At 39.3% G+C, this 21,421-nt stretch overlaps 1 protein-coding gene across 2 annotated transcripts in view; it reads right to left on the bottom strand.

Moving 5' to 3' along the window:
- LHFPL3 (LHFPL tetraspan subfamily member 3) overlaps window positions 1-21,029 on the bottom strand; it is a 579,959-nt gene extending 558,930 nt beyond the window's left edge. For both annotated transcript variants that reach the window (NM_001386065.1, NM_199000.3), the window contains exon 1: window positions 20,408-21,029. In NM_001386065.1, the coding sequence (NP_001372994.1) occupies window positions 20,408-20,852 (445 nt within the window). In that variant the 5' untranslated portion in view covers window positions 20,853-21,029. The remainder of the gene's footprint in view (window positions 1-20,407) is intronic.
- Window positions 21,030-21,421: the final 392 nt, after the last annotated feature.

Raw genomic sequence — 21,421 nt, 5'->3', positions numbered from 1 at the left:
ACCTGTCATCTACATTAGGTATTTCTCCTAATGCTATAAATGCTACTTTTTAATAAAATAGCAGTTACCATAGCAGCCAGACATCACAAAGTCATTTCAAAATCAAAGGCATCTTCTTAAAGAAACCTTGTGAACAATGTATCTGAGCAATATCATAAAAGGGCTCCCTTGTATGTCTGGGGTTTATTATACAGAATAATTCATTTCCCAACACTTTTCTCTAGCTTTCAATATCTACTCTACAACTGCACTCAAGATTTTATACATTTTTCTTATTTCTTGGGGTTTATTAAAAAGAAAGAAACTTCACAACAGTGGAAAAGGTAAGACAACTATTTTATAAGAAAAAACAATTATTAATATCTCTTAGGACACCACTTTATTATTGCTCTGCAAAGCAGCAAATTGATGCTGCTATATTTTGAAGGAGACTTGAATTAATTTTTTTATTATTTCATATTGTCTTTTTGTTAGCTTCTAAGTAAAATGTTCTTTCTCTACCTATATAGGTTTTTCTTTCTTCATTTATAAATGTCTTGTGTTTTTGTCTTCCCAGAGAGTTTTAACTTCAAGCCAGATTTGTGAAGAAGAGAAGGAGGATAAGAGAGGGAGGAGGATAGAAGGAAAAGGAGGAGTCAAAGGAGAAAAAAGGAGAAGAGTGGTAGAAGGAGGACGAGGAGAATAAAGAGGTTCTTCAGCTCCCCAATTAGACTTTGCCTGATCAGCCTTCCTCTTGCAACCATTGTATAAATGTCTAAATGGAGCAGGGATGGTAAGACGCGCACAAGGTCACTGCTGCTTCTGACACGTGCCAGTCTCATCTGTTTAGCGCCTTGAATTATACTGCAGTGTCTTTCAGTCTTTTTCTTTTGTCCTCTAGATCTTCCCACCTTGCTCAACTTTCGGATTTTATAGTTGCTACCCTGAAGCCTGAGAACAAAAAGAATTTCTTTTGGAAAACAATCTGTTTAAAAACAAGGTTTATTCTCAAATGTGTTAGTGTTTACTTGGCTCTATAATGTTTTTCTTCTTTGTGTTAAGGTCAAATATTACAAACCATAGGACCTACATATGTGATTTTAACAGAATATCTTTTTTTCAGTGCCAAATTTTCCTAGTCAAGGTAAGCCATTTAGAATATGTGTCATTCCATATTTATATACACAAGATGTTAAAACATAAACAAGTTTGTTTCATAGTTCATCGTTTTTAATCTTGAAATCAAAATTGAATCTGTGTTCTTTTTTTGAGACGGAGTCTCGCTCTGTCGCCAGGCTGGAGTGCAATAGTACGAGATCTCGGCTCACTGCAAGCTCCGCCTCCCAAGTTCAAGTGATTCTCCTGCCTCAGCCTCCAATAGCTGGAATTACAGGCACGCACCACCACGCCTAGCTAATTTTTGTATTTTTAGTAGAGATGAGGTTTCACCACGTTGGCCAGGATGGTCTCCATCTCTTGACCTCGTGATCCACACGCCTCGGTCTTCCAAAGTTCTGGGATTACAGGCGTGAGCCACTGCGCCCAGCCAAATCTGTTTTCTTAAATAGAGCTTAGATCATACAGAAATGATACGATCTCCCATTGCACTGACTCTGTGGGAAAAATCAGTATGTTAACCCTTTCTCTATAAAGAGCTGAGAAATTGTCTTTATATCAGTTTCTAATAGAAAGCTTTGGATTGTGACATCAGTTTTGTGTATCAGAAAACAAGGCAAAGTTTTTTATTTTGTTTTTTTTTTTTAAGACAGAGTCTGGCTCTGTCGCCCAGGCTAGAGTGTAATGGGCGATCTCGGCTCACTGCAACCTCTGCCTCCCGGGTTCAAGAGATTCTCCTGCCTCAGCCTCCCCAGTAACTGGGATTACAGGGGCGTGCCACCACGCCCGACTAATTTTTGTATTTTTAGTAGAGATGGGGTTTCGCCATGTTGGCCAGGCTGGTCTTGAACTTCTGACCTCAGGTGATCCACCCGCCTTGGCCTCCCAAGGGATTACAGGCATGAGCAATTGTACCCAGCTAGAAAAGAAGGCAAACTTTCAATAACAAGCAACCTAGGCACTAAACTACAATAGTGAGTAAAACAGCGATGGTCCCTGTCCTTAGGAAGCTTCTAGCAAAAAGGCTACAAGGAGCCATTACAGCTCCTTGCAACCCTTCACCTGAGCCTCAATGATATCATTCTGCAGCGCCCCAATCCCTAACTCCAAAAAGAGGGTGAAAAGAGGACCCAGCCCTGGAAAGTTTCACACCTTGTTCTGTTCTCCCCTCACTATTACCAAATCCCTAGAAAGGCCTAGTATGGAAAGGACTGACCTTACTCAATAAATAGTGGAGTAGCAATGGCTTGGCAACACCAAAATGTGCATGATTTTTTTTTCTAGATTAAAAAAGAAATAAAACAGTGAGGTCGCCTGGAGTTTTTATAGAAGAGCAATCTACCAAGTCCTTTATACTTCTTGTTCTTTCTGGGATTGCCTGTCTAGAGTGATAAGACAATGGCGATGGTGATACTAATACCTAATGTTTATCAATGTTTTCTGTGTACCAGATCTGAGATAGGTACTATTTTTAATCCTCATTTTACAGATGAGGAAACTGAGGCACAGATAGGCTAAGGAACTGGTCCAAGGTCATACAATTACCCTGTAAAAGAAGTATCCACCACACAAACCCAGATGTTCTGGCTTTGGAATTTATGCACTTATCTAGTATGGTATAATGGCCGCCACATTTTTCTTCCTGGTAATGCAAAATTATTTCCAATCTTATGAAGAAAACTAATCCCAAAGAGATCCTCAACATTAGAAAGTGTGTTAGTCTTCATATCTCCTCTAATACACATAAAAGGAATGCAATAGGGAAGGATAAATGAATGAGTGAAAGAAGAACAGGAGGAGTGAGAATCCAATTACAGTATTTCTATTATTTCATTTGGTATTTTTATTTTTATAGAACTAAGAGAAATCTACTACACTACATACGTGTGTCACTGGAAGTGGAGAACTTCATTCCTTTGCTCCTAATATAGTTTATCTCAGAAAAACATGATGCTAACCCAGTATGAGAGATTCATGAGTTTTGAGTAGTCATTTCAGAAACTACAATTACTTTGCATGCATCTGTGTCCATTTCTCCCATCCTGTTCCCCATTGAGCAATGGCACAAAGTGGTGACTTGGTACTTTGATGTTTGGAGCTCATGTGGCCACACAGTTAAGCAAAGGAAATAGAATATTATCCACGGGACTTACATTTTGAACAATACAGCAGAACAGATGACCAAAAAAAAAAAAAAAAACCCTGATAACTAGAACACTTAAAAATATGGAATAACACTTTGGGAGGCCAAGGTGGGTGGATCACTTGAGGTCAGGAGTTCGAGACCAGCCTGGCCAACATGCCAAAACCCCATCTCTACTAAAAATACAAAAATTAGCCAGGCATGGTAGCACGTGCCTGTAGCCTCAGCTACTCAGGAGGCTGAGACAGAAGAATTGCTTGAACCTGGGAGGCAGAGGTTGCAGTGAGCCAAGATCACACCACTGCACTCCAGCCTGGGCAACAGAGAGAGACTCTAAGAAAAAAAAAAAAAAAGAAGGAATAAAAATTCAAAACTTTTAAAAGCATGCAAGACTGAGCTTATAGTAAAGTAAGACAATATTAGAAGTAAGAAAAAAGACAAAGCAACAATCCAAAGATGTAGTGGAGCACTAAAGCTGACATTAACCATGGGGGCATCAACTGACCACTAGTGGTAAAGAGTTTTTTCTCATCTTTTTCATATCATAGAAAATGATACTAGTACAATAGCAATTGCTAGAATAAATGGGAAGGTATCTAGGAGCATCATCTATTATGCTAAATGTAACTTTGTAAAACCACTTATTATGTTTACATCACATAACTCAGAAAAAAATGAATATAAAGTACTAAATATTAAAAATATATTGAATGTAGCTTCAATATCAAGTATATGTAATTTGTATAAACCATGCCATTGAAATATTTGTAAATATTTTAACAAGTAACTTGAGCTTTTTATAATGAACATAGACTTTTGTTATTTTATATGATGCTTATAATGGTTGCAGGCAATTCCTGCTCAAAACTTACAATAACATCCTTTTCAAAAATCTCAGCATAGATAAACAGGTCATTTTCCCAAAAGTGGTAGTGGCTAAAAAATTAACAAACTTGGTAACCAAATTAAAAAGTTAGAAAAAGAACAAGAGACTAAACCCAAAGAAAACAGAAGGAAATATTTTAAAAAGCAAAAATGAATGCTATAGGACAGAAGAATGTAGTGGAGAAAATCAACAAAGTTAAAGCTGGTTCTTTTAAAAAGGCAATAACAAAACTTTGGCAAAATTGAGTTAAAGAACATAGAGAATACACAAGCAACCCTTACACTATTATGTGAATATATTAGGAGCAGCTTTATGCCAACACATTTGAAAATTTAGATAAAATAATTAGACAAATTCTTAGGAAAATATATCTTTACAAACTGACTCAAGATGAAATAAAAAGCCTAGATGATTCTATAACAATTAAAGAAATGTAATAGTAGTATAAAAATCCTTCCATAAAGAAATACCAGTCTCAAACAGTTTTATGAGATAACTCTATTAAACGTTCCAAAAACAGACATTTGATTCATACACAAATTTTTTTCTCAAAGACAAAAAAAGAGAGAGACTTCTCAACTTTTATGAATCTTATATAACCCTCTTATCCAAACTAGGTAAAGCCAGTGTGACAAATGAAACAAAAAAAGACCAATTTTACTCATGAAAATACTTCAAAAAATCATAAAGTAGATCTACCATTTGATCCAGCAAACCCATTACTGGGTAGCTACCCAAAGGAAAATAAGTCATTATATCAAAAAGGCACTTGCATGCATATGTTTATTGTAGCACAATTCACAGCTGCAAAGCTATGGAACCAACCTAAGTGCCTATCAATTAATGTGTGGCTAAAGAAAATGTGGCATATATACATACAGCATGGAATACTATTCAGCCATAAAAAAGAATGAAATAATGTCTTTTGCAGCAACTTGGATGAAGCTAGAGGCCATTACTCTAAGTGAAGTAACTCAGAAATGGAAAACCAAATACCGTATGTTTTCACTTTTAAGTGGGAGCTAAGGTATAGGTACGCAAAGGCAAACAGAGTGATATGATGGTCTTTGGAGATTCAGAAGGGGAAGGGTGGAAGTGGGATTGGGGATTTAAAAGCTACATATTGAGCACAATGTATACAACTCGGGCTATAGGTGCACTAAAATCTCAGCTTTCACCACTATACCATTCATCCAGGTTACCAACAACCATTTGCACCCCAAAAGCTATTGAAATAAAAAAATTAAAAATAATAAATAAAATATTAGCATCAAGTCACATGATGTATGGCAAAGTTGGCTTCATTTTTTAAATGCACAATTACTTCAACATTAGAAAATCCAGTATTATAATTATCTTATCAATATATATTAATTTGGAAAAGTAATTTGATCATTTCAATAGATGCAGGAATTGCATTCAATAAAATTCAACTTACATTCACAATTTAAAAACTTAGTGTAGGAATATAAGGGAGCTCCTTTAATCTAATTAGTATTTGCAAAAATAAAAATCTATAGTATATGTCATTCTAAATGGTGAAATATTAAAAGCATTTCATTTAAAAACAGAAACAGACAAAATTAAACAATATGCTACCCAGGAATGTGTACATCACTGATAAAACTATAAGAAAATATAAGATAATAACACAAAACTCAAGACTCAAGAAAGTGGATACTTCTAGGTGAGAGGGGATGTAATCAGGGGAGTGGGTAGCAGGTACACAAATGGTTGTTTTAGTATGATTTTGTAAACCACACACACACACACACACACGCAAGCCATACACACAAATGTAAAATATATTATTCATAACATGAGGCAGATGAAGTGACAATGGTTCATTTTGCAAGTGTTAGACAAAATCAAAGTGATGGCTAGGCTAAATAACATTTATAACTACAATAGGTATTTAAATCACCTTCTCTTTCATTGTATAAATTCAAGCTTGGCTTTTTTTTTTTTTTTTTTTTTTTTTTTTTTTTTTTTTTTGAGACAGAGTCTCACTCTGTTGCCCAGGCTGGAGTGCAATGGTGTGATCTTGGCTCACCGCAACCTCCACCTCCCGGGTTCAAGTGATTCTCCTGCCTCAGCCACCAGAGTAGCTGGGACTACAGGCATGCACCACCATGCCCGGCTAATTTTTGTATTTTTAGTAGAGATGGGGTTTCACTCTGTTGGCCAGGCTGGTCTTGAACCCCTGACCTCATGATCCGCCCTCCTCAGCCTCCCAAAGTGCTGAGATTACAGGTGAGAGTCACCACACCCAGCCTTTGGCTTCTTATAAATCATATTTCTACACTAAACTTGGATAATACTTTAACACATTTGGGGAAAAATTTCAAATGAACTGCTCATGTCATCATGAGACTTGGAGACGAAGAATTATAAGTGAGACTCATTCCATTTCTTGAATAGCTCTATCATAATTAAAACTTTAGTGTATAGGGACCACCTCTCACAATCATTTGTTTGGTTTTCTAGAGAATTTGCAAAAAAAAAAAAAAAGTCAATTCTTTAATAATATGCAAAAGAAGGGAACAGCCCTTATGAAATGCAAACTCATATTGATTGCAGAATTTTCTCCTTTGTTCTCTGCACACTATGTGTGGCCAAAACATTCTAAGCAGTACCACAGTAATGCTAGCATGCTGAATTAAATTGCACTATCAGTACAGTTTCAAATTTTCTACTTGGTTTGTTCACACACAGACACTTTAGTGGGTACTGGGGCCATAGCAGGGCACTGGGGCTAATGAGGGAAAATTCTGGTGAGGCTTAAAAAGAATGCTCTCTGAGTATAAGACGGAAAAAGTATTGATTTAGAGAAGGGAAGTGTGCTTTTTGAAAATTTTCCTTTAAAGAACTTTCTGCACTTCAGGTTCCTAAAGAGATAAAATAGGAACCAGCTTGAGAATTTGTGTCTCCTTTGAGTGGTGTTCAGTGGATAATGCTATTTGTGGGTATAAAAGGAACTCATTCCTTTCCTTTTCTTTTGTTTTATTTAAGGAAACAGAGACTGGAATATGTAGGTAGGAACTGGTAATTAAATTAGGTGCCCAGTTTTTCACTCTGATTTTGTGAAGCATTATTTGCCTATGGCTGCGGTCCATGTTCTGAGTTATCTTAAACATTATTTTTAAATTCTGAAAAGTCCCTAAAGTTTCCCAAGAAATGGGATTTCCAACCCTACTTTTTAAATTTTCAAAACAAGTTCAGGCACCTGCAGAAACACAACTATAATGCATAGTTCATGACCACCAAGACCAAAGGGCTGTTTAGAACCTTAGAGTTCTGAATTCCTCAATTTCTTTTGAATTATCCAGTGAACTGCTCAAGTCATCCCCATGTGTCCATCTCCAGTCTAAGAAACAACAACCAAAATGACCTGATGGGGATGACCATGCCAATGAGTTCTCCAAAAAAGGAGGCCATTGGAAGTCACAGCAGCTTCTCCAAAGGTCAGATAGATTATAGAGAGTAATTTCAAAGCATTTTATATTAAGGCAAGGGGCTGCAGAAATATTCAGGAGGAGTTAGCTTTTCCCTTGTAGGTAAAGGAGCTTTCCCTTCTACTGTGTGATTTCTGATGAATCCTTTTTTTTATTCTTTTTCAGTCTTCATATTTTATCCTCCACCCTCCGTCCTCTAGAATATCATCCTACAGGCAGTGTCAGGGAGAAAATGAGTCTGGACCTGACCCTGTAAAAGGCAAAGTTCTCAGAAGTACAAGATGACAGGGCTGGAGCTCCCTCTAGAGCCCATCCTGCCGACAATGGAGGGGTCTTCAGCAAAGTGAACTGGGGCTGGTGGATCCTGACCCATTTCCCTATCCTGCTCATCTTACTGGAGAGCCCTTTCAAAAGACTGAGAGGTCTGGAAGAGCAGAACTATTCACCATGGCCTTCAGGATGGCTCAGTGATGCTCACTGGCATCTCCAAAAACAGTGTGGTCAAACAAGCTTATTTAGTAAGTTCTCTTGTCAAAATCAGCTCTAAATAGTCACCACAAAAGGAATTTGGATGAATATGTAAAACAGAGAATGTTCATTTGCTTGTTGTTTAATCCAGTAGTTTGGATCATAGTCATAGATGTAGTCATAGCAAACTTGATATTCTGATTTTATAATAAACTGATGACTTTAAAATGAACCATTTATAAGAAGCAATGTTGTTGCTGCTTTTTTACTTTCTTTAGAAAAGCTAAAGAAATACAAGGAGGAATTAACATGTTAATGAAAAATAGAACAACATAACCTTCATTTGAGCATAAATCTGAAAATTTTAAATCACTACCTTCTTTACTTAGGAAAACAATAAAGATTCACAGATAAAGTATTGAGAAACCTAATTTTCAATGTATTATAGTTAAATTTCGAATAGCAGAGGAAAATGCTATTTCTAATTTGTTCCTGATGTTATTAGAGATGGAGAATATTCAATTTTGCTTTCGATAACTGTGAAGAGGAAATAATTTGGGTAACAGCTGATAATATTTCTCTACCATTTGGAAGAACTTAGTAAGAATGACTAAATGTTCAGGTCTTAACACAATTAAAAAACTGTTTTGCCATGCATTCTTCAAAACATGGCTTCCTTTTTTTAAGTTTGTGTAGTTGCAGTTATCAAACAGTTCAAAATGATTTCCAAAATACATTCCTATTATTTTCAGTCATTACTCCAGGCAAATAAAATGGAAGAGCTAGTTCTGTTAACACTAAATTAAACTCTTAACTGAACCTGGTGTTTTGTTAGTAATGCATACAATTCATTATAAGAATCACAATAGCATTTTTATAACACCATGCAGTTTACTAAAAATACTCGCAAACATTTTCTTAATTTCAAAACAAAGTAGATCCAGCATACACAAATTGCGCCACTCAATTGCCTTCATTAGGTAGTACATTGTAAGTTCAATTTTTCTGTTTACTAAATTTTGTAAACACTAACCATGCCTCTGGCCCTGATCTCTTTAGTAGTAGTAGGAATAGTAACAGTAATCATAGCTAACATTTTTTTGAGTGCTTACTATGTTCTAGGTACAATTTTAAGTGTTTTATGTGCATTAATTCAATAATCCTAAGAACGAAGAAAATATATTTTATTTAAAGTTTCATTAGATTGAGAAAACTTAACTTTAGATGCCTACTCGTCTTTCTAGTTTTTCTTTATTTTCTTTCTGCTTTAATTTCACTCTATCCTTGATGGTTTGCCTAACATTTACTTTCTTGGTAAATACACAGCAACATTTGGTTAGCAGATGTTATTTTTTAAATGTCTATAACTTGCAATCTCTTTTTAAAAAAAATCTGGAATAGAATTGTACAAGCCTTAGAAAAATTAAGTCAAGAAAATGAAAAGTCAAAATTAGTTAGATGACTTACCCAAAGTCATCCAGCCAGTAAGATGACAGGTCAAGATGCAAATATTGACCACACGCTAGCTTCTCTTCCTCACCCTGATCCCCCAGAAACTGCTCAAGTCTATTATTACTTTCTCTGGAACTGTGTCAGTACCTTAGCAACTCTGTCCATCTTCACCACCACCATCAATAAGCAAATCTATTAAGAAAATTTCTGCATTTAATTGAGGGCAAGAATGGATGACATAGAGCCAGTAATGTGGATGTTGCTCTAGTCCTGTAGGAATTCACAGTCTAAGATTAATGGCAATAATCTCAGAGGTGTAACCAAGGGCACATTAGGGGAAAAGAATCACCGCAGACTCTAGGTTAGAGAAATGAAAAGGATGGTATGACGGCTACATAAGTATGCTTGACGAGGAAATTCTGGAAAATACATAGATAATTATTTCCCCTGCAAAGAGCAGCTCCTTCCTTGCATGATGATACAGAATGGTGAAAATGCATATTGAAGACTTACACTAAAGAAATGGACGTTACATTGGGAGGCAGAAGAAAGTGGCAGAAATGGAACTGCAGTGGGAATCAGATGCGTGTTGATCTCAATTTTTCCAAGGTATTCTTTTGGCAAGACTCTGAATCTCTCTCAGACTTAGTGGAAACATGCCGTAGGCCAGGGAAAGAGTCTGATTTTGGCTCAAACCACCTATTGTCTCTATGACCTTGAACAAGTTCTTTTGAGTAATTTTTTAAGCCTCAATTTCTTCATCTGCAAAATGGGTATAATACGAACCTTGTAGGATTGTTATGAGGGTCAAACTAAAGGTTTTTGCAAGTGGTCGTTGCTCAATAGTTAGTATTTATCATTATTATTTCTTTTCTTTTTTTTTTGAGACGGAGTTTCGCTCTTGTTGCCCAGGGTGAAGTGCAATGGCAACATCTCGGCTCACTGCAACGTCCACCTCCTGGGTTCAAGTGATTCTCCTATCTCGGCCTCCCGAGTAGCTGGGATTACAGGCACTCGCCATCACACCTGACTAATTTTTGTATTTTTAGTAGAGACGGGGTTTCACCATGTTGGTCAGGCTGGTCTTGAATGCCTGACCTCAGGCGATCCACCCGCCTCGGCCTCCCAAAGTGCTGAGATTACAGGCGTGAGCCACCATGCCCGGCCATTATTATTTCTTAATCAAGAAAATGAGAAGAGTATGTTAAGTGATTTTTAATATCTGTCCAACATTCAAAAGCCTATGAGTCTATATCCACTTGACACAAGGTTAAATACTTTTGTTAAATGGTTTTTAAGCTATATTGTTTCTCAGAGGTGGGCCATGTCATTTTTTACAGCACAAAGGGTCAATCAAATCACATCTGGAAAATAAGTCTAATTTTCAATCAACCTACAATTTAATTGGGGATAATACATTAGCAATAAAAGTCATAAATGGAGGTGAGAAAATAAAACCAAAGGAAAAAAGTCTCAAATTGCTTAGGTTAAGTATATTTTATCTAATCTACCTTCTAATACAAAATTAGCTATGAATAACTTGTATAAATCTTCCACAATTTTCCAAAGGAGAAATGATTATTTTCCTAAATTCACACTAAATCATCTTTGCTCTGGAATAGTATTGTTCAAACATTGTGACTACAGCCTACAGTAATACATTTTATATTGCAACCTAGTCCACACACACGTATGTGTTTAAGTATGTAAATATTTTTAGAAAATAAAGGTTTTGGCTGGGCGCAGTGGTTCACATCTGCAATCCCAGCACTTTGGGAGGCCGAGGCGGGCAGATCACGAGGTCAGGAGATCGAGACCATCCTGGCTAATACGGTGACACCCCGTCTCTACTAAAAATACAAAAAAATTAATCGGGCGTGGTGGCGGGCGCCTGTAGTCCCAGCTACTCAGGAGGCTAAGGCAGGAGAATGGTGTGAACCCAGAAGGCGGAGCTTGCAGTGGGCTGAGATCGCGCCACTGCACTCCAGCCTGGGTGACAGAGCGAGACTCCGTCTCAAAAAAAAAAAAAAAAAAAAAAAGAAAAAGGAAAATAAAGGTATCATAAGACCCTTTTTATATGCCTTGCATTCGTATTTTCTACTCTCTTTTAATCCAAGTTCTAATGTTGATTATCTACGAACTGATATCATGACCATTAAAAGGTCATCAACCATGGTTTTTAAAACACTACAGTAGAGCATTCCTTTCTCTATGAAGGTTTTTATAACATACCAAGTGGTCAATACTATGTTTTGTCCAGTCAACTGGTTAAAATGTAGCTATTCAGCTCATATTTGGCATCACACAGATCCACAATATCGCTGGCTATTAATCATTTGAATTTTAGATGAATTCAATTAGTCTAGTTTGTAATTATACAGGTTCTTAAAATGTTCTGTAAATGTATTTACCCAAATGTTCACTGTAAGTACCCTTTCCCCATTAAAGGCATTATATTACAGAAATCAATTTAAACTCACAATTTATAACTAGGTTTTCAAAAAGAAACATTAGAAATGCTTTTCGTCAAATTTTACAATGACCTATTCTTTCTTAGGTTGCCTTATTTTAATCTTTCTACTTATTTCCACCTGCCATACATCTAGTATCTCTCCCTTTAAATAGCTTAATTTTAGAGTCTATTATAATTCCCTGACTGGGGGTGAAGCCATAATTTTTCTTTCTTAAAAACTGGGATTTGCACACAGCTCTGCACCATATGACATATTCTAGCTCTCTGCTTGTCCTGTGCCAATACATTTTTAAGCCATTGATGATATCAAATTAAATAGGCATCTGATGTTATGAAATTCCACAGGCTTTCCAACCCTGAATTTCATCATCTCTTTACTATTCATACTTCATTCATTTTTGGTGTCACTGTTCCATATACCTGCCATTCTTCACAGCTGGATTTGTTTGCCTGTTTTTGTTGTTGTTGTTGTTGTTTGTTTGTTTTAATACTGAGCCTTCTGTCAATTATAATACACATTTCCCATTTCGATTTTGCAGCACCTCACTCTTGATCTGCCCTGAAACCAACTAAGGGCCATGCAGAAAACATTCCCTGCAGACTACTTCCAGAAGGAGTCTACAAACACTTAAAAAAAAAGGGCCTGTGATGCATTCTGTACTAAAGCTAAAGTTGAATCCCCTTCAAAATCCTATCTGCCATTGTTCTCTAACAGGGCATAGAATGTGGAGAACCCCCTTGATTATTTAGGTTGTGCATGTCTGCTTCTGAGTTAGGGCCTCTTTTCAGATCTACAACTATTTTTCATTTATCCCATTATTTTTCACTGCCCTTCCACTAGCCCTTTCATTGATAAGTCATAATCTTAAAATTTCCTGCAACTAGAAGATCAACTTCACTCAGACAATCATTTAGGATCTTTCTTCCTGTTGAGCACACATAGCAGCCCTACCCTGCTGCAGCCCTTGGTTTCATTAGGGTGGGGGAGATATCAGAACTCAAGTATGGCAATTCTGTGCCAGCAACTCTATTTCCAAAAGGTTTGCTTTCTTCTTTCATTCTAGCCAATAGTAGTCAGATATGGTTCATGTCTACATTGGTCGAAAAACTATTTATCTTCCCCTTGCAAGCCCCTTATTTTTCTTTTTTTTTTTTTAAGCAAAAAAGGTGAGAAATGCACTCACTCAAGATTATAGTTAGGACAATTTAAACTATGAATAGTACCAGGACCTTGTGCAGTGGGCATATCATAGAACTGTAGCCATAATTTAAGCGCTTATGTCTTTAATTATGATATTAATTATGTAAACATTTAGGATGCTGAGGGAGATTATTTCTATTTTTCAAATGCCTCAGTGACTTTTTATAAGAGCATTATGTTTAAGTCATCAAATAACTTATCTACTATTTGCTATATGAAGCAGCCTCTTACTTTCCATCATTATTACTAACTTCTTTTTATTATTAAGAATAAAGGTCAGCTCCTTGGTCTTTCCTCATATCAAATAAAAATTCCAGTTGACTCATTATGATAAGGAAAATTCACATTAATTAAAGCTGGTGCTGACCCCCAAAGTTCAAATACATTATGGAAATTACACTTTAAAACTAGTCCAGTTATCACGAGATTAAGCCCTCAAAGTAGAATTCTCCTAGAGCGTTATTTGCTTCGTGCCAATGTGATCCAAAATTCTCTCTACTCCCCTCCCCATAGTTCATCTCCTGATACCACACACAGAAGTGCACTGAGCCACATACTGGAACTCTAGCTATATGCTCTTCTGTTTCTTTTTTTTTTTTTTTCATTTTACTCCCTTTGAAAGATTTCTGAGGTATGTACATACAGTGCAATATACTAGCCTGGCCATCTGGATCCTCTTTCCTGAGTGGTAGCAACATGCCAAACAAAAATTACCAAATAGGTGTTTTCATATTAAGCCTCTGATACCACATTCTGGTTAGACTTTTATTATATTATTTACTTACGGAAATATAGAAGTACTTTATTATATTTTTACAGTGGGAAACTTGTTGATTGTGCAGCCTTGCACCAAGAAAAAAATTCCTAACAATATATTGTATGGGTTATATGGGACCGGTTATTTTTCACAGATGTTTTCTTAAAATCTCACTTTTATAAAAACTGTTTGTTTTGACATCACATTATTTTCTAACATCTCTTCCAATTGTCACATTTCTTGTCACATTACATATAAGGGAAATGGTTCTAAATTATTCCAGATCACTTTCTTGTAAGTTTGTCTTGGTAAATAAAAAATTATTTTAAGTGAAATATGTTGTTAGAAAACAAAAACTGCCCTCACTGGCTGTAGGTATCCTTTCCTCTACACATGGGAGAAGATTTGAAATGCTCTGATAGAGGAAAAGCCTCTCTTTAGGGTCACTCCTTGGCACTGAACTCAGGATGCATAAGCAGCATTTTGGGGCAAGAGCTCACTTTTTCACACTGCTCAGCACTAGCCAAAGGGTAAGGACAGATGATTGTCCTGAACACTGAGTCTACACCTGAGTACATCCCAGTTCTGTCCCCTCTTCAGAGCACCCCATCAGAGCTCAGTACATTCAGAATCACTCTGTCAGAGAGGGCTTGGCCTGCTCCATGGGAGTCCAAGAAGAGCACATCTGCACTGATGCCCAGTAAGAAGTGGGAAAGCCTGGAAGGACAGGAAAAGTCTTTTCCTGTCTTTATTGCTCCTGAAGGTACATAAGGAAATCCAACCTAGAACAAGTCCCTGCTCTTTCTGAAAGAAAACCCAATCTCTTGATTTTTACATAAAGCCTCCATTTTGGATGATATGAGGTTTTTTTAATGAGAAAATAAATGGTAAGGGAAAATTTGCTGAAGCCTGAGATATGATTATCTCCCAATGCTGTAATAAAGATCATTACCTATACATCAGAAAGCCTCTGGGAAAAAGCTCATCACAAATTAGGGTGTCAAGTCACAACCATTGTCATCAAAGAACAAGGACTAGTTCTTTCAGTGTGGTCACTACTAGTGACGCCACACACCACTGAGAAATGAGTATCACGGCTTTCAAAGTACACAGCATTCACTTCTTGCCACAACATATGGGAATTTTATTTCTTTTGAGATGGAGTCTCACTCTGCTGCCCAGTCTGGAGTGCAGTAGCATGATCTCGGCTCAGTGTAACCTCCGCCTTGCGGGTTCAAGTGATTCGCCTGCCTCAGCCTTCTGAGTAGCTGGGATTACAGGTGTACGCCACCATACCTGGCTAGTTTTTGTATTTTCAGTAGAGACAAGGTTTCACCATGTTGGCCAGGCTAGTCTCGAACTCCTGACCTCAGGTGATCTGCCCGCCTTGGCCTCGCAAAGTGCTGCGATTACAGGTGTGAGCCACTGCACCCAGCCCAACATATGGGAAATTTAAAGTCCTTTTTCCTTTCATTCTTCACCCGATTATTCATTATTTTTCAATTTATTAACTCAATGAAAAATTATCGAATACCTACTATGTGCCAGATATACACATACTACTATATGCCAGGATATAGTAATAATAGCAAGACAACAACAGCAACCATACCCAACACTCACAGAGGGCCTACTTACTGTAAACCAGACACTAAATAATACATTAGCTCATTTAGTCTTTGCAACAGTCTCCTGACAGGTACAATTATATGCATATTTGCAGATGAGCAACTAAAGCATAGGAAGATTAATTCTCCAGGTCACACAGTCCGTAAGTGTCACAGCCAGGCTTCAAATCCACATCTTTTAACTCCAGTTTCCATGCTTTTGACCTCTATGCTGTACAAAGAAAAACAGTCAAGGCCTTATGGAACTTTCAATGCACTGGAGAAGACAGAAATTAAATAAACATGGAAATGTGCTGTAATTTCAAATGCTAATGAGATCTATAAGAAAACAGGAGGGTGCCACAAGATAGGATGGTATAACATTTCAAAGGCTCTTCTTGCAGGCTAAGAAATATAGTGATTACCTTTGGTGATTCTCATCTCACCTAAATGACAAAGTTATAAAATTTAAGGTAGCAAGCGGGATAAAAAGAATTTGGCAGAACTAAATCTAGGAGGCTAGGGGGTAACAGACTAAACAATTCAACCCTTACCCCTTGCCATAAAGCCTTGCCATCTTGGTGGCACTTCTTGCTGGCCCTTCTTGCTGGTACACTCAGAATGATACAGATGAGGAATCTGGGGAGTACAACCCATTCTGTCCTCATCTCTCCTTAATAAGAAAATCCAATCTGGATCAGGTGTCCCATCTCCACAGATGAAAGCGAGTATCTTTCCACATCTGTTGCCTTTGACCAAGAAATGCATGACCGATGTCTACAAAACCTTAAGTTCCACTGAATACTTCAGCTTATAAAAAGAAAAGAAAACTAAAGATTTCTTTGGCCTAATATGGTGAACACATGGGCTTCTGGAAACAATTCAAGGTATGGCTTATAGTCACTAGAACAAACAAAGTGTGGTTTATAAAATGTGGTTATTAGTAGACTCAGAAACCAACTGAAATATTGACTTAAAGAGAACAAGAACATAGAAGCAGAAAATAAGGTTCCCAGGGGAAGAAAATTCCCTTTCTATCCTGATTTTTTAAAAATCTGGACTTTATTACCCTGCTTGACCAATTACAAATCTACTCTTTTCCTTTTAGTGTCAGAGAAATCACACAGAAAGCCTCTTTTTTTTTTTTTCCTTCTGAAGAAATTGCCTTTCTACAGATTTAGGAAAGTTTTATATCTCTTATTATCATTATTTTATGTATTATTTTTATGTCTCCAGTTTTTATATAAGACATGGTCTGTACATACAGGATGACATCCAAAGATAGTATGATATATTAGCTCCTAATTCTGTGCTTCCTAGTTTCATGCTACTGTGTTTGATAAAGACTTAGAGTGAGGAGGGAGAGGATAAGGTGTTCATAACGGCACGAAAATTAAATGTGCTTCACACACCTAGATGAACGAGCAACATCATTTTCAGGTCCAATAAATAAATTAATTTTTCTGGTTCATCGTTCAGAATCATAAAAATAATAATTTTTTATATTGTAATATCATAAGAAGTCTGTTTCATCATCTTAATGTATCACTTGAAATAGGATTTTGGCTGGGTGCAGTGGCTCACGCCTGTAATCCCAGCACTTTGGGAGGCCATGGCAGTCGGATTGCTTGAGGTGAGGAGTTCCAGACCAGCCTGGCCAACATGGTGAAACCTTGTCTCTATTAAAAATACAAAAAATTAGCCTGGTGTGGTGGCACACGCCTGTAGCCCTAGCTACTCAAGAGGCTGAAACAGGAGAATCACTTGAACTCAGGAGGTAGAGGTTTCAGTGAGCCGAGATCACACCACTGCACTCCAGCCTGGGTGACAGAGCGAGACTCCATCTCAAAAAAAAAAAAAAAAAAAAAAAAGAAAAGAAATAGGATTTTATATTCTACCTGACTACATATAGGATGTTAGTATATTAAAAAGGCTTAGATAACTAAATACACAAGCGAATAGTTTGATTTCCAATGAGGGATAGTCTCTAATAAGCAAATAGTACACTAAGGTCTCATCTTTCATATTTAGCAAATTACACTTGAGATTAGCCTAGGTACTGGTAAACAAATAGGTAGGAGAAGACTACTTAACATTAAAGAGGAATAGTCTAAAGTCTAAACTTTCTTTTTCTTTTTTTTTTTTGAGATGGGGTCTCGCTCTGTTTCCCAGACTAGAGTGCACTGGTGCAATCTCGGCTCACTGCAGCTTCCGCCTCCCAAGCTCAAGAGATTCTCCTGCCTCAGCCTCCCAAGTAGCTGGGATTACAGGCACCCACCACCACGCCTGGCTAATTTTTGTATTTTTAGTAGAGATGGAGTTTCACCATGTTGGCCAGGCTGGTTTTGAACTCCTGACCTCAAATGATCCACCTACCTCAGCCTCCCAAAGTGCTGAGATTACAGGCATGAGCCACTGCGCCCGGCCTAGACTAAACTTTCAAAGTAACTTACAATAGTTTATATTAAATTTTTTGTTAGTATAATGAGACTTAATTTTTTTAGAAAAATCCTGAAAACCATGTTAAATGTAACATTGTTTAGAAATATCTTCTATGTTATTCCTTAAAAATCTGTGAATGAGTGACAGATCCTTATTTGACCTGTCATCAGAATCAATTTTTCTTTTATTAATATACTTCACTAATGAACAAAATCATGTACTATAGTTTACCTAGAAATAAAATGCCAAATAATTGCAAATAAAGGTTTTAAAAAGTATGTCACTTAAGGATCCGGACTTCTCCAAAATGAAGTAAATGTCCTTACATCTTTAGTACAAAAACTATCCCCACATTTTACATGACGTGGAAAACAGGATAAACATTGATGTCAAATGCCTGAGAACAACATTATATTTCACTGCTCCAGGACAGACAATTTTTCTGTGCTCTATTCCAGAAAGAGAAAAGGAGAAAAACGAAACAAAACAAAAAAACCTTGTAATGGTTGCAGTTTGTATTAACTTCAAAGCTGGTATTTCTTTCTCAAAGATCATTTTCTTTTTGTCTTTCAAAAAGCGGGGGGTTAGAGTAGGAAACCTCATAAAAATCAAACATTGAAGAATACGTTGTTGAGAAAGCACCTGCAAAGTATTTTCAGACCTTTTAAAAACGATGTAATTTGAATCACCTGTCTAAATAGGTCATTTAACTTAGAAAAATTAAAATTAGCTGTGCAGGGTCAATTCTTTTTCTACAGCATCTGCATGTGTGTGTCCTCTTCAAAGTCAAACCAGAGCTAAGTGTCAAGAACAGCCATAATACATGAATTTATTCCAAATCTTAGTTATTCTGCTTGAAATGGCCATAAAAGTTAACTTTATATATAAAAACATAGAGTGAGGAATTGCTAGAAAAAGTTGGGGATGGGGGTGCAGAAGGAGACGCAGAACTCCCCGTTCAGGAGATAATGGTATGTGTAAAGGAGGGAGTCTCTACTGCTGCTCATTTCTTGCTTTTCACATACACACTTTTACAATATATGGCAAATCAATATCAGGCGAGCCAAAACACAAAATAAATACTTTCACACAAGTGTAGTCTCCCACAAGCTTCTCTTTCCTTATCAAACTAGCAATATAGGACTATGAACCTTAACGCTATTGTCCAGCACCTTTAAGTATCTACTCATCCTACAACACTCTGTCAGGGATTGAATCCCTCTCCCCAGAAAACCTTCCCAGGAATAGAATAAACGACAAAATCTTGAAACATCTTAAAAATGAGAACAGTAAAAGAAAACGCAAATGAAAACTTTAGCTGCCTAAGATATTCAGTGCCCTTCTACAACCAGACCATCCATAAAATCAAAAGGACCTCAACAATGTTGGAACAGAAATGTGTCACGACCACTGGACCCTTGACTTTAGAAGGGAGGGCATCCAAGCTGGCTGGCAGAGAGGCAATCGCCATCAGGGGAAGTACAGCAAGGAGTCAGTTTTGTTTCAGGACTCTTCAAAGTCACCAGGAAATGTACCCCATCCTTTCTGGGTTAAAAGTAACTTTGATGCACAGAAAAAAAGTACTTTCATATCCTCCAGCTAGCAACAATTTATCATCCACAGGGAAAGAGTGATCGGAGATGCTAATGAAACATTCTCCTCTCTGCCTACTTCCCCAAAGCCACTTCCCAAAAATGAGATCTTGAGGAATCTTGATTTACTAAAGACTTCTGTTTAAAGATGAAATGGAAGGAACTTTGCACGGACAAGGAGGCAAACTGAAGACTTGACATTGAGGAATTGCGAAAGAATGTTCTAAGCTACATTCTTCTTACAAGGGGAAACCCAAAACAGAATTAAGATCTCTTCACCTCCGGATGGAGGAGTAAACATATTTAACTGCCCGGGATGGAAAGAAACAGTATCACTCCAGCCACCGCCCCCCGCCCCCTTTCCCAGGATCAATGACAGAAATAGTCCCAGCAGCGAGGGGCAGGGCAGGCTGGCTGCTCCTTCCACTATGACCTCTCCAAATCCGCTTTTCACTTCGCCCTGTCAGTCCCTCCTTAGTCCCTCAGCACGGAACCCCGGCCCCATCTCTCTAAGCGGCCACTTCTCCACCCACCATCCTTAGTTCTGAGCGGACTCGGCCCCACAACCGCCCTGCCTCCGGGGCGTCCCTCTGAGTGGGCGTCCCCCACACTTGGGAGGCTCACGAAAGCCCCGGGACGAGGCGCCAGCGCCGGGGCTGGGGAACCCCGGGGGTTCCGGCCTCGCTGGGCTCCCGCCCCCCACACCTCGACGCCTGAGCGGATTAGGCGGCTTGGCTCGCAGCGGCGCGCACAGCCCCCGTCCCTCCCACTCTGGCCCCTCCCCGGCTCGGGCGCCCCGGGGTCCTCCGCCTCCGCGGAGGTGAGCGCGCACTCACCGGAGGTGAGCTGCATCCAGGCACATATCTTGTACACAGTGGCCGTGTTGCAGAAGAAGAAGAGGGTAAAGCAAATGATGCAGGCAATGATGAGCATCATGGAGAGGCCGATAAAGAAGGAGGCGGCTTTGAAGGCGCCCGAGGGCAGCGTGGAGAAGTCCGTGAAGCTGCCCCTGCAGGTCAGCTCCCGGGAGAAGCCGTTGCCGATGCAGTAGTGGAAGAGCCCGAAATAGCCGGCTTGCGGGGTGTCCACGCCGTCGCCTATCCAGTAGGGCTGGATGAAGCACACCACGTTGACGATGGCAAAGCAGATGGTGAAGATGGCCCACAGCACGCCGATGGCCCGCGAGTTCCGCACATAGTTGGTGTGGTACAGCTTGGCAGCCTCCTGAGCCGGGAGCATCGCGGCGGCGGCGGCGGCGGCAGCGGCGGCGGCTCCGGGCATTCTCCCCCTCCTCCTCCTCCTCCTCCTCCTCCTGGTCCTCCGCCTCCCCCCGCCTCTCAGCGCGCAGGAGACACACTCACGGAGCCTCGCGCGCTGCAACTCCCCTGCCTCCGCCTCAGCCCAGCAGCACCAGTTTCAGAGTCTGCATCCTCGCTCCCGGAAGGAGGGCGGGGGAGCGCGGAGCACCCCTCCGGCTCGCCTGGCACAGCCTCCCGGCTCCCCTCCCTCCCTCCTGGCCCGGGCTCCGGCCCTCCTCACCACCCTCCACCCCTCTTCCCGCCGCCGCCGCTGCAGCTGCTGCAGCTGAAGGCGGCAAATCCCTCGTGGAGCACCGCGGCGCGCAAGCCCGGGGCGCCTCCCGCTCTGCTTCCCGCCTCCCTCCCCGCTGCCCGGCCCGCGCTGCCAGTGCCCAGGGGCGCAGAGGACAGTGACGACCCCGGAACGCCCATCAAGGGGTGGACATGAGCCAGAGAAGTGGGCCTGGATTAGGAGGGCGAGGGTAGTCTAAGAAGGTGGCAGGAGCACCCACAGGGATCCTAGAGACAACCCCAGGATCCTGGTGGGTGTGA

The sequence above is a fragment of the Homo sapiens genome, chromosome 7 (genome assembly GCF_000001405.40).
Source record: "Homo sapiens chromosome 7, GRCh38.p14 Primary Assembly".
Classification (NCBI taxonomy): Eukaryota; Metazoa; Chordata; class Mammalia; order Primates; family Hominidae; genus Homo; species Homo sapiens.
This window is presented reverse-complemented; position numbering and strand designations above follow the sequence as displayed.